Consider the following 14206-nt stretch of genomic DNA (forward strand, 5'->3'; position numbering starts at 1 on the left):
AACCCTGATAACACTTCTCTCAAAGTTCTGTGCCCAAGCTTCATCCTCAGGTTGATCTCTTTTCCCGCCCTTGACTGCTCTGTTCTCAGCTCTACAGGGTTGACAAAATTCATGTCGACCTAAACCCCAGAAGGTGACCTTGTTTGGAAAGAGGGTCTTTGCAGATGAGATCAAGGTAAGGGGAGCTCACAGTGGATTAGAGTGGGCCCTACCTAGTACAATAACTGCTGTCCTTATTAGGAAGAGAACACACACACACATCACACACATCACAGACACACACACACGAGAATGTGCCCTGTGCAAATGGAGGCAGAGCTTTGAGTGATGTGTCTACAAGGCCCGGAACAGAGGGTGCCAGGAACTAGCAGAAGCCAGGAGAGAGCCATGGAGCTGATCTGCCTCAGAACCTCCAGTAGGACTCACCCTGACAACACCTTGACTTTGAACTTCTAGTCTTCACAACTGAGACAATAAACACCTGATGTTTAAAGCCAGCCAGCTATGGCGTGTTATTATGAGAACCCTAGGAACCCAATACACCGACTTTCAAGGGCCTTATCCCACTGACCTCCAAGCAGGCCTGGATCAGTGTGTCTCAGTTCTGGGAGCTCCCACGAGCCTGCAGAGAGACCGTGGGGACTTCCTGAACAGTGACTGAGGAGGAAAGAGGGACTCAGAGTATTGCCTCAATACTGCCCCTTCCTCCTCCTAAACTCTGCTGGGCTCTTTCTCTCCCCCAGGAAGGCTTCCCTGCTAAATTCTGCCCTGCAACTTGTCCCATACATTTCCAAGTGCTGCCTTCCTGCTGTGAACTTGAATGGAGTCCTCTGTTTTTTGCACAAAAGCACAAATGTCTGCTTGGGATATAGCTCATCCTACTGGGTTGAGACTTCCCTGACAGATTCCCCCAGCCCTGCGCTCCCCACACCCTAGGCTGTGCTCATTCTGGGGCTCTGCTCCTGGTGCGTGCTGCTTGGGTCAGTAGCGATGACTAGGAGGTCCCTGGCACCAGGGAAGAAAGAAGGCCGGCCTGGCCATCTGCAGGGCAATCACAAACGCCAGGACAGGGCATTTCTCCCGCTTGCCCTTTCATGAATAATGTGGACCTGCCCAGAAAAAGTGAGTATTTGCCTTTAAACCAAAACCTTATCAAGAAAGTAGGCGATATGCCTGGAAGGTCTCCTACAAGATACTTGTGGGCCCGAATAATGGCAAGAAGCGTGAAAGAAAAGGAAAGACCACACTCTGCAGAACGAAGTCCTCAAAAGAAACCCAACTCCAGATTAAAGCCAATCTTGCTGGGCAGCCAGGATTCCCAGCCTGCCCCAAATACGAGGAAGCCCTGTCAAACGCCCACCCACCACCACCAGAACCACACGAAGCCAACAGTCCCTGAAGAAACCAAACTCTTTCATAAACAGTAGAACATTCTGTTTCAAAAAATTCTTCTTAATATCCTCAAAGAAATCCAAGCAACTATAGCATCAATAAAATGGAACAACCAGTCAAGATAAAGGAATACTCAGAGAGCAGGAAAGAGTTCCTAGGAGGAAAACAGAAGAATGCAGATGAACACACAAACCCTGCCCTCCCTTGTTTCAAAAAATTCTTCTTAATATCCTCAAAGAAATCCAAGCAACTATAGCATCAATAAAATGGAACAACCAGTCAAGATAAAGGAATACTCAGAGAGCAGGAAAGAGTTCCTAGGAGGAAAACAGAAGAATGCAGATGAAGACACGAACCCCCTGCCCTCCCTCCAGGAAACCCTGGTGGCCCTGCAGGAAAGGGACTCAGTCTCCTACCCCTGGGTTCCCTGCAGTGGCTCACCCATGGGCCTTGAGGAAAGTCATGTCTGTACCTTCCAGCCTGGATTCAGCTGTATGACAGCTATAAAGGGAGCGAGTCAGCCGGGCACGGTGGCTCACACCTGTAATCCCAGCACTCTGGGAGGCCAAGGTGGGAGGATCACGAGGTCAGGAGATCCAGACCATCCTGGCCAACATGGTGAAACCCCGTCTCTACTAAAAATACAAAAAATTAGCTGGGTGTGGTGGCACATGCCTGTAATCCCAGCTACTCAGGAGGCTGAGGCAGGAGAATCACTTGAACCCAGGAGGCAGAGGTTGCAGTGAGCCGAGATCACGCCACTGCACTCCAGCCTGGGCAACAGAGCAAGACTCCATCTCAAAAATAATAATAATAATAATAATAATAATAATAATAATAATAACGAAATAAATAAAGGGAGGGAGTCAGTGTCCACCTTTGGGCCAGATATTCCAGGGGCACAGTGATCATCAATGAGTGCCCCGTGGAAGAATGATAATCTCCTGGGTGGAGGAGAGGCTGCCTCACCTAGCAGCCCTTCCTCTGATGAGGCCTTCCTTTTTGTTTTTCTTAGAGATGACAAGAGGGCCTTACATAAAACTTCCAAGCCTACAGCCTCCCACCCTCTCAAAAACAACAACAGTTGACAGCCTTCAAAGAGCTCTTTACCACACTGGCCTGTCCCTCTGTGGATCTGGACTCCTCCTTCTGCATCACCTCTGACGGGGGCAGGCAGAGCATGCTCCAGTAGCAGGTGAGAAGCAGCTTTGTTCTACTATCCAGCTCAGAGAGCGACAGGAACTTCCTAAGATCTGGGATGAGACAGAGGTGTGACCAGAGAGCAGAGCCCAGGAATGCCACTGAGGAGAGGGGACTTCATATTATAGAGAGGGATGCCAGAGGCCAAGGGATAGGCAGGGGCCAGACACGGGTGCGTCTGGTTCAAAGCCCACACTCTTCCGGGGTCCTCCACCCACAAGAAGAGACGGGAGCCACAGGACTCTGGACTGCATGTCTGCCCAGCATGGAGTGTGGCCCACATGAGCAGATCCACCCAGATGACGTTCCAGAGGGACAGAGAGGCTGCTCCCCTCCTCACCCAGAGGAAGATTCATCCCTCAGCTTGGAACTCCATCCCTTCCACAGTCAGCCCCACAGCCCAGCCCCACTTCTCCTCCCTTTCAAACAAGCCCTCACCCTCCAGGATCTGCAACATCTTGGGAACCTCCCACATCCACAGCTGGCCCACATTTGACTTGATGACGGGGTGCAGGGAGGCAATGGGATGCGGAGCATATAACAGCTTTAGGGTGTTTTTTCCAAATGCCTTTTCTCTGTAGGGCTTCAGGGAGAACAACTGAACAGCCAGAGAAGCAAATGGGAGGCAGAGAAGAATGAAGGCAAAGAAGAAAATTAGAACAAACCCATGGAATGGTAGAGCTGAAGCTGAGCCCTCCCATTCTTTTCCACCTGCTGAACAAGTTCCCCAAAATGCCCTCAGATGCCACCTCCTCTGTGACGCCCTCCGTGACTCCTGGAGGCCAAGTTATCCATTGCTCTGCTAAGATCCCATTGCACTTGTTAGTACCTCTGTCACCTTTAACTGTGGGTGGTGAGGTTACTCCCAGGTTTGTCTCCCTCACTAGCACTGTGAACCCCTCAAAGCCAGGTGTATATCCTGTCTCTCCACTAGCACTGTGAACCCCTCGAAGCCAGGTGCACATCCTGTCTCTCCACTAGCACTGTGAACCCCTCAAAGCCAGGTGCACATCCTGTCTCTCCACTAGCACTGTGAACCCCTCGAAGCCAGGTGCACATCCTGTCTCTCCACGTGTTCTTTATGTCTGTCACAGCACTGGGAAAATTAAGAAACTCAAAACATGCTTGCTGAGAAAAGGAGGTCCAGAAAGGCAGGGGGACTTGTCCCAGGTCAACAGAGAGAAGCTCACAACAAGGCCACACAGAGAAGACAGCCAGGCCCTCCCTATGTCCTCTGCCTCCCCCTGTTCCAGTCCTACCACTACGTGCCCAGGGCCCCACCTCCAAGCCCGTTGGCCTGAGGCGCCTCTTCCCAGGACCCCCGTGACCCTCGGCCCTCCCTCCTCACTCCATATCTGGCATCAGGCCTGGAATGGAATGGCCCTGGGCTACTGTGAACTGATTGGATGGATGACACCATGTCCATCTCAGCACCACTATCCACAAGGTGGGTCAGTAGTCTTTGTGGGGAGATGACCTTTGAGGGTGAGTTAAAGAGAGGGCAACAGAAGAAGACACAGTAAGGGTGAGCTCCCGGGAGCCCACCTCCAGCCCCCACTGGCATCCCCCATCAGTTCTTCAGAGCAGGAGTACAGGCAAAGAGGAAATGAGCATCAGTGTCCATGCCGAGGCCTTGTGACATCTCCACTCAGCCTAAAGACCACCACTGCATGTTCCAATCACCTCGTGCTTATATATATATATATATATATATATATATAAATAAATTTTTAGTCATTAACTTCTATATTACAAATGCTAAATCAATAGATTTTGTATATTCATTAGTATTATCTATGTAAACACTCAAGTTACCTGCAGGTAGAGAAATATTTATTTTTTCCATTCCAAATTATTATGCTTTTATTCCTTTTTCTTGCTTTATTCTAATGCCTGGGACCTTCAGAATAGAAGTGATAGGGGAGTGCATTCTTGCCATGTTCATAAAGTTATGAAAACAATATTCAGTCTTTCATTATGCACTATAGGGTAAGCTTTAGAATTTTGTCATTTCCAGAATTTTATATGATTTTAAATGATTGTCATTTCCAGAATTTTATAGAAATCTAATTATGAAACATGTGCTCTTTTTTGTCTTATTTTTCTACAGAGCATCATTATTTTGAGATTCATCAATGTTGCTATGTATAATTAATTCATTTATTTATATTTCTCAGTATGTTGCTCATTTCCTTATATTGTTCACTATGTTGCACAGATATAATGGAACATTTCACCTGTTCACCTCTTGATAGACATTTGGTTTACTTCCAGTTTGGGCTACTACAAATAAAGCAGCTATAAAAAAAAAAAAAAAAAGACCACCACTGCATCTTCAGCTTTAACAACAGTGACCACACCACTGAGGAAGTGCTGAACAGACACCCTCACCGCTTCTCTAGCCCCACTGGGTTTAGAGGTCAAGGATGGGACAAGTATAGAGCCAGGCTCAGAGTGGGGCAAAAAGAGGACAAAGGAGCAGGACTGTCAGTGCAGCCATGAGTTTGTAATTAACAAGAGTGCTTTTCCACCTGGATGCCAGTGTTGTGAAAAGAGGACTAAAGGTGACAAGGAACTGGTTCTACGGTGGCTCCCTTCCAAAGGAGGCTCCCTTTCTCCACTGCCAGGGGCTAATTGCCTCAGGCTGCTCCCTGACCTTTGACCTTCCCCTTCTCATCCTGGCCCTGGCTCAATCTGTGGCCTCATCCCCACCGCAGAGCTGTACCCTCTCCCCATCTCACACCCGTGCAGGGCCTCAGCCTGCCCCCACTGCCCTCCATGCCTGCAGCAGCTGGAGCCTTCCTGGCTGCCCCTCCCCATAGACCACCCAGCCTTGTACTCACGCCTGCCATGGAAGCTGCTGAGGTAAGGGTGCGGCCCCAGGGAGTGGGCCTGCAGAGCCACCTTCCTGGCTGCCTTGCTGAGGACCACGAAGGCCGAGATGTGGCTTGGTTGGCATAGAAGGTTTATGAGTACCGGCAGGGACACCTGGCAGGCGACACGCAAGGACCTCAACTCCAAGCCCAAATCAGTCCCCGTCATGAGTTCTCCAACCCCACAACCCTGGATCCCTTTCCTGGAGGGGCAGTAGAGGCCTGGACACACAGCCCGCTCTTCCCATGTGCTCACAGAGTCTCTGACTCCATCTCTGACTCTCCCTCTCTCGCTCTCTCCTCTCTTACCCCTTATTGCTAAAAGGTAACCAAGGTCCTTATGAAAATCACTATAGGCTGGATAAAGAAAATGTGGCACATATACATAATGGAATACTATGCAGCCATAAAAAAGGATGAGTTCATGTCCTTTGCAGGGACATGGATGAAGCTGGAAACCATCATTCTCAGCAAACTAACACAAGAACAGAAAACCAAACACTACATGTTCTCACTCATAAGTGGGAGTTGAACAATGACAACACATGGACACAGGGAGGAGAACATCACACACCAGGGCCTGTCGGGGAGTGGGGGGCTAGGGGAGGGATAGCATTAGGAGAAATACCTAATGTAGATGACGAGTTGATGGGTGCAGCAAACCAACATGGCACATGTATACCTATGTAACAAACCTGCACGTTCTGCACATGTACCCCAGAACTTAAAGTATAATAAAATAAATAAATAAATAAAAGAAAATCACACTAGGAAGGACGTGCTTAAACAGAGGGGCTTCTTAAAATTTGAAATTGTGCGACTTGTTATCGCCTTCACTGGGGAACATTCCAGAGAAGAGGAAATGTTAAAGGTCAGGAGACAGGGCTTGCTTGGAGGGAGAGCAGTTGTGCCTCCAGGAGGAGAGGAATTCACAGTCCTCCTACAGAAGGGGCAAGTGCAGCCCAGAGAGCAATGTACTCAAGGGTCCACAGCTAGAAACTGACCGAGGGACTCAAGGGTCCACAGCTAGAAACTGACCTAGAGACTCAAGGGTCCACAGCTAGAAACTGGCCGAGGAACTCAAGGGTCCATAGCTAGAAACTGACCTACAGACTCAAGGGTCCACAGCTAGAAACTGGCCGAGGGACTCAAGGGTCCATAGCTAGAAACTGACCTACAGACTCAAGGGTCCACAGCTAGAAACTGGCCGAGGGACTCAAGGGTCCACAGCTAGAAACTGGCCGAGGGACTCAAGGGTCCACAGCTAGAAACTGGCCGAGGAACTCAAACTCAGGTCTCCAGAGTTACCTTCAATGCCCGTCTTTCGCTCCACTGAGTCACGTCTCAGAAGAGACCCCGACCTTTGAGCAGAAACAGATGGAGATCAGAAGGGGAGGAAGAGACACTACAAGGGGCTAGATGGAGGGGAGGGAGGAAGAAGGCAGTCTAAGGGGGCAGAATAGTGATCTTGGGAGGCAGGGGAGGAGGAAATGGAGAGGCCTCTTTGGCCCTACCTGTATGTACCATTTGTAGAATCTTGGCACACATCTGCTGGGTATCTTCTTCATTCTGGAGAAACAAAAGAAAGGATCAAGACATGGAACCAATGCCAACTGAATCTCCCAGGTATTGGCCTCCCCTGGCCCACTGATCAGGGGTGTGGATGCCAAAGCACCTCCCTGTCAGGCCAGCCAGGCCCCTATTCTGTGTCTCTGCTCCCACCCCTTCCCTTCTCTGTCCCCTGCCCCTGGCTCACTCCACCCTCGGTCCCCTCACTTGCACCAGGTCCTGCTCACTGAGGGCTCTGGCTGGCTGAGCCCAACAAGGTGGTGGATGATGATGTTCCCCTGGGGCAGAGTCATGTAGCTGTGCTGCCCCAGCGTCTTGATGAAGCTCAGCAGGGGCATGTGTACCTTTGGGTCACAGACCATCACATGCATGACAGGAAGGGGCTGCAGGATGGCCTCTTGTTCCAGGTGAGCACACAGTGGACCAGAGCAGGTCAGGGAGGTCTTCAAGGACCTCAGGCCTCCTGACTCCAAGTCCACTGTGACTCTTCAGTGGGTGCTGTGGCTGTGACAGACCACCCGTGACTGGACCTGCCCACTTCTGTCCTCTGCTCTGAAGTTCCGATCCACTCCAGCTCTGTCATCCTCCTGGAGAACTCCAAGAACTTACTTCCCATACTTCATATGCCCGCAGATACTGAAATTGGCAGGAGTGTTGGTGGAGGGGAATCCAAGTGAAGGAAAGGTCTCGTGTTTTGGCCTCTGTAGGGAAAGCCAGGAAGCAATCTGGCAAGTCCTGAGGGCCCAGCCCTCAAGAGCCCAGCCTCCTGTGACCCTTCTGGAAATTGGGCCCTTGTTTTTCAGGCTGATGCATTGTTCTCTATTTAACACTCAAAACCAGCATGCCCTGCTGCAGCTATCCCAACGCACTGTCCTACACCATCCAGAGCTGGGAGTCTCTGCTGCCTGCACCCCTGACTGCAGAGCTGCTTAAAAATACAGCTTCTCAGGTCCCACTCCAGCCATGAAGCCCAAGGCTTTCTCCTCCCAAGAAACCTGTGGGTTCTTGGGGCCTGAGTCAGTGTCATTTGGAGCCCTGAGGACACAACAGTGCCGCCCACAGAACAGGCTCAGAAGGGGGCATTTAGGCACCACCTCTCCACTTCTCAAACTCTTCTCTGGTTTTAAAGAACCCAAATGGAACTGAAGGACAGGGGTCTGAGCCTGAATTGGCTTGGTGAGGGTGCCTTCCTACTCATTCCCTATCTCCCTCTCCTCTCCATTTACATGACACCAGGGTCTCAAGAAAGCAATTGCCCTCCCAGCACAGACACACGGCCTCTATGCTCACAGGTCTCAGATCTTTCTGTATCAGCAGAACCACTGAACTCATCACCTCCTTCTTCAAGGTCTCCCTCTGGGGCACTAGAGAAAACACAGGCGTGCAGCTGGAGGTCAGCCTCCACCCCGCCTCTGCTGCTTGGGGAGACATCAGATGACAGCCGGGCGGGAGGAACACCAGGTACAGTCCCGGCCGTCAAAGGCCAGGTGGAGTCTCCACAGGCATCTCAGCCATCCCTGTGCCTCCAACCACACTGAAACCCACCAGCCTGGCCAGTACTTTCCACAGGAGGGCATTTGAGCCCCAACCCTCGCTGGTCTCCATGACTGCCCACACAAATCCGCCTCTCCAGCCAAGCTGTCCTCTCCTCTGTCCATCTCAACCTTTCCAACCTCAGCTGCTGCTCCTCTCCCCTGTGGCCTCCTTGTCCTGATCCATGGTCACAGGCTCCTCTCTACTTTTGGCCCATCCCCTCTGTAAAGCCCACCCCGGCTTCCCTGACCTCCTCCTGCTTGCCTTCCTGTCGGCATCGCCGCTCCCGTCTAAGCAGCCCAGTGCATGTTGTCCCGCACTGTCGCCATGTGGACAGCCTCGCCCCCTACCCTACAGTGAGCTCGCTAAGGGCAGGGGCTGTCTTCTGTATGTGTATTCTCCGTGCCTGTCACAGTGCTTAGTGCACAGCGAAAGCTTAACATCCATACCTGACTGGAGGTGAAGCCTGCTCTTCCAGGCGGTAATCACAGATAAACCACTATAAAACCAGCTGCAGAGCAGGCCCTGTTCTCAGCACCTCACATTTATTCACTCCACCCTCACTAAAAATCCCTAAAGGTAACAATTATTTTTACCTCTGTTTTTCAAATGAGGAAATAGAGGCACAGACTAAAAGTCATTTGCTCTAGGCCACATAGCTAGTGAGAAGCACAGCCAAGATCCCAACCCACTGAGATGACTGCATTTAAAATCGTGCTTCTAACTACTATACCAGACTGTCTCCAGAGAAAGGAGATTTCCTGGGAACGATCAAGTCCTAGAACCCCAGGACCATGCCCCATTCCCACTCCCTCTACAGGACACATCCCTGAAGACTTGCGGGGTTGTCACTGCCTTGGCAGACTCCTCGGGTTTGACGATGTTTTCCAGCAAAATCACCAGCTGATCCCTGCCATATAACTTGGCTATCAGAAGGATGTGAATACAGGGCAGTCAGGGGTATGTTTAAACGGGAGGTAATACCCAGGCTTAAATCATGCTCACAGCAAACCACTGACCATGACTTGGACGAAAGAAAAAGAAAGAGAACCAGGTCCACCCAGCATTTGCCATGTGCCGAGCATGTGCCAGGTGCCCCTCCTGCCCCACATACCTGCCCACAGGCAGCACACTGTGCCCATCAGTGCTGTCCTGTCATAAGCACCTTTCTGAAATAGGGATCATGCCAGGAGAAAGGGGAGTCAGCCCCAGGTGAGGCAGTGGGAACAATAGGGGTGGGGTGGGGCCATGGCTATGCCCTTTCTGATTCACTCAATTTCAGGCAAAGTTCTCATTAATTACTTTGAATCTTGTCTCGGAGGTTGGAACCCCCACCTTCCCATAGGAACCTAGGCCCCAACTCCGGCCCAGGGAGAGACTAAAGGGGTCCTGAGTTCACATGTGGGCACACACACATGCATGCATGTGCACACACATATGCACACGCACACACATGGCTAGGAAAACATATGAACTTACTCAGTATGTTGAAAGCCCTCAGAGCTAAGCTATGGTTCAGCATGGAGTAACAATCCGAGTAGTATTTGCCACTTATCTGTAGGGAGACCAAGGCCTTCAGGCCCAGGAGGATGGAAACCAGGGATCCTACATGTGGAGGAGGAAACTGAGGCATGAAGCCATGCAGTGCATGGCACCAGGCTGTAAGGAGAGCAGAAAAGTGGAGCCCAGGAATCCACTCCCAGCCCCAGAGGGAACAAGACAGAGGCCAGCCAATTAAATATAAGGAAGGCATCATCCTTTTGCAAAATGTTCAATTGTCCTCTGCCTACTCCACAACACAGAAGACCTGGCACCTCCCACGGGCTGAAGGAGGGCCTTGAACCTTCTGCCTTTTCCCTAGAGTCCAGGGGGAGCCACAGAGGCTTGTCACCCCAGAAAGCACACAGGATGTATCCAAGTTACCTCATGGAAAACGTCCCACTCTGTGCCCAGAATCCAGGCATTTGCCTGTTTCAGAGAAGCCTGCAATGTGTGCAGCAAAGGTCACCATGTCAAAGACCCCTGTACCGTCTGGAGATGGTGACCTGGTCTGAGGAAGTCATCACCACCAAAGAAGAGAGAGGGCAAGGACAGGATGCCTCCGGCCTGCCGCACCCACCAGCTGGAACAGCACCCCTGTGATATTCCCCAGCTGGGACTCCAAGTTAACACCTCCACAGCCACTGAGAGCCAGAGTCTCGGCCAGCTGGCAAATGCACTGTGTGCACAAGGACAGAGTCAGGACAGGTCGTCCCAGCCCTTTCCACAGCCTCAAGGGAAGTACTCCTTCCTCATGTCTTCCAGGTTGGTCCAAGCCCTTATGATTTCACATGGCCCTCTCGAGCCTTCGAGGCAGGACCAGGGTGCAGCTCTCCCGTCACTCAACACAACCAGGACTGGACCCCTCACCCAAGACGCTGCACTTATTTTCAAAGAACCTCACTACTCCAAGAAAACCTTAAGGGAATCCAACACTGCAAGTGTTGGGTGACCTGAAAGAAACAGGAGTCAATCTAAGCATCCATCAACAGACAAATGGATAAAGAAATTGTGGCATATATTTAACAATGGAATATGATTTTAAAATGCAAATAAAAATCCTATAACATCGGCCTAACAGAGGCAGAATTCTGAGATGACCCCCAAAATTCCAGGGCCCTGGTATACACACATCTTCTGTCAGTTACTCAGTCACGCAGTAATCTCAGTGTTGATGGGAAGGGATTTTGCAGTTGACATTTATATAGGGGGATGATCCCTGTGGGCTTGACCTAACCACATGAGCTGTTCTACATCTGGGCCTAGAGGTCAGAGGAAGGGAAGGCAGAGAGACTCAAGGGCAAGAGGGATCCAATGAGGAAGCATTGCTGGCTCCGAAGCTGGAGGGTGCCTCAGGGCAAGGAACATGAGTGGCCTCCTTGAGGTGAGAGTTGCCCCTGGCTGACATCCAGCTGGAAAACAGGGAATTCAGTCCTACAATCATGAAGAGTCCATATTTTGGTAATTTGTGACACATCAAGAGAAAACGGATGCAGCTCCACACTGTGCTTTCATGGCCATCCTCCTGACTGAGCCTCGTCCCACCCTTGGGAGGCGGGCGCGCTGTTACCATTTTACGGATGAGAAGGAGGCGGCTCCGGAAAGGCGAGGGATCGGCTCCAGGCCTCACCCCCGGTAAATACCACTTGAACGCCAGTGGTCTGCACAGGAAGCCTGGCCACACTGCCTCCTGTGCATGCTCCTTCCAGGACTGCTGTGAGGACAGAGGTGTAAGAGCACCGCACAAAGACCTGCGCGCAGGAAAGACGGCTCATCACTGAGTTAAGGCGGTGAGAGTTCTTAGCGAGTGCCTTGGGTCTCAGGGTCACCCTCCAGGAAATGGCCAAGTCGCACCAGGATTCATGACTGCTCCATGATTTGTCTCCCCGTCGTCTTCTGCAGTGACTGCTGAGAAACGTAGCTTGCTTGTCCATCCAACACACAGGGCATGTCCTACGGAGATGCCCCAGAAACTTCTCCCCACGCACAGTGGCCTTTGACAAAGGGGGCAGGGCCACTCAGGACACGTGCATTCTGACCAGCCTAGGCCTTGAGCCAGTGTGTCAAGGTCACACGGAGGTCTCCTGGGTCACACTGCTCTCTTTCTCTGTGCCTCTTCTTTCCTCAGAGCCCCTTCTCACATCCCTATTCCCTGCAGAAATCTGCACTCCCCATCACCCCAGCTAAACCTTGTTGTTAGTCATTCTTTCTCACTAAGGCATAAACTGCAGCAGCATAAAGAGGAGTTCTGCACCTGGGGATTAGGGATGAGTTTCACAGGGCCTGAGACTCTCCGGGATTGTGTGCAAAATCCTGTGCAAATGTGTCTTTCACCAGCTTCTCAAAGGGCCCTGAGTCTCCAAAGGGGTCCAAGAATCACCGGATAAACCATTTTCCCAAAGTTCACGCAACCTGGCTCTTCAGTGCTTCTGTGTGTTTTATAAAACATGACTGCATCGCAGTCCCCAGGCAGCAGTCATCGCAGGCTCTGCAGGACCACGCGACAGCAAGCATCCATGAAATGGGAGGATGCTCCGGCCACGGGAGCATTTCCAGGGCATACAGAGGGCTTTTCTCTGCCCCTTGATTTCACTCCACGGAGTCAGCACCTTCTCATCTACCCAAAAGGTGGCCCCAACAGCTGGCCCTGCAGTGAAAAGGTTCTCCATGCTCATGCTGTTCCCTCTAATTGGTTTTTGTTTGTGAGCTGAGATTGCACGACTGCCCTCCAGCCTGGCAGACAGAGTGAGACTCTGTCTCAAAAAAAGGAAAAAAGAAAAATTGGATATACTTTGGATATAATTTGGATATTTATGGTGCACAATGTAGTGTTTTTCAAATATGAGCACGCTGAGTTATGTAACATGCATGGCCTCACACACTTACCATTTTTTGTGGTGAGAACACTTCAAACCTACTCTCTTCACAATTTTCCTGCCTGCACTGTGGTGTTGTTAACTCTAATCACCGTGTTATACAGCAGATCTCTGGAACTTCTTCCTCCTGCTTAACTCTGACAAACATTTCCCCAACCTGCACCCCCAGCCCTTGATAACCACCATTCTACTCTCTGTTCCTATGAGTTCAACTTTTTCAGCTTCCACATGTAAGTGACACTGTGTGGTTTTGCTTTTCTGTGTGGTTTCTGGCTTATTTGCTTAATGTTATGAATGCCCTTCGTATTCATTCATGTCACAAATGTCCTTTTTTTTTTTTTTTTTTTTTTGAGACGGAGTTTTGCTCTTGTTGCCCAGGCTGAAGTGCAATCTTGCAATCTCAGCTCACCACAACCTCCGCCTCCCCAGGTTCAAACAATTCTCCTGCCTCAATCTCCCAAGTAGCTGGGATTACAGGCATGCGCCACCATGCCTGGCTAATTTTGTATTTTTAGTAGAGACGGGGTTTCTCCATGTTGGTCAGGCTGGTCTCGAATTCCCAACCTCAGGTGATCCACCTGCCTCAGCCTCCCAAAGTGCTGGGACTACAGGTGTGAGTTACTGCATTCGGCCAGGATTTCCTTCTTTTTAAAGGCTAAATCATATTCCATTGTTATATATATGCCCCATTTCCTTTATCCATTCATCTGCTGATGTAGGCTTAGGTTGATTCCATTTCTCAGCTATTGTGAATAGTGCTGCAGTGCACCTGGGGGTACACATATCTTAGAGGAAAAGCTTACAACTTTATCCCATTCTGTATGATGTTAGCTTTGGGCTTGCCATATACAGCCTTATTGCATTGTGGTACAGTCTTTCTATATCAAATTTGTTGAGAGTTTTCATTATGATAGAATGTTGAATTTTGTCAAATGCTTTCTTTGCATCCACAGAGATGATCCTATGGTTTTAGTCCTCCATTCTATGACTGTAGCATGTCCTATTTATAGACTTGTGTACACTCAACCACGCTTGTATCCCTGAGATAACTCCCACTTGATCATGGTGAATGATCTTTTTAATGTGCTATTGAATTCGATTTACTAGTATTAGATTGAGGATTTTTGCATCTATGTTCATCATGGATCTTGGCCTGTAATGTTCTTGTAGTGTCCTCCTCTGGTTTTGGCCTCATAATTTTCTCCCAGATTTTGGGAAAAGTTG

At 50.2% G+C, this 14206-nt stretch overlaps 1 long non-coding RNA gene across 1 annotated transcript in view; it reads right to left on the bottom strand.

The window, feature by feature from the left end:
- The window catches only part of ITFG2-AS1 (ITFG2 antisense RNA 1), a 70299-nt gene that overhangs the window by 22248 nt on the left and 33845 nt on the right, over positions 1-14206 (bottom strand). The window contains exon 3 of the long non-coding RNA NR_146317.1: positions 6980-7034. This is a non-coding gene — a long non-coding RNA (ITFG2 antisense RNA 1). The remainder of the gene's footprint in view (positions 1-6979; positions 7035-14206) is intronic.

The sequence above is a fragment of the Homo sapiens genome, chromosome 12 (genome assembly GCF_000001405.40).
Source record: "Homo sapiens chromosome 12, GRCh38.p14 Primary Assembly".
NCBI classification, from domain to species: domain Eukaryota; kingdom Metazoa; phylum Chordata; class Mammalia; order Primates; family Hominidae; genus Homo; species Homo sapiens.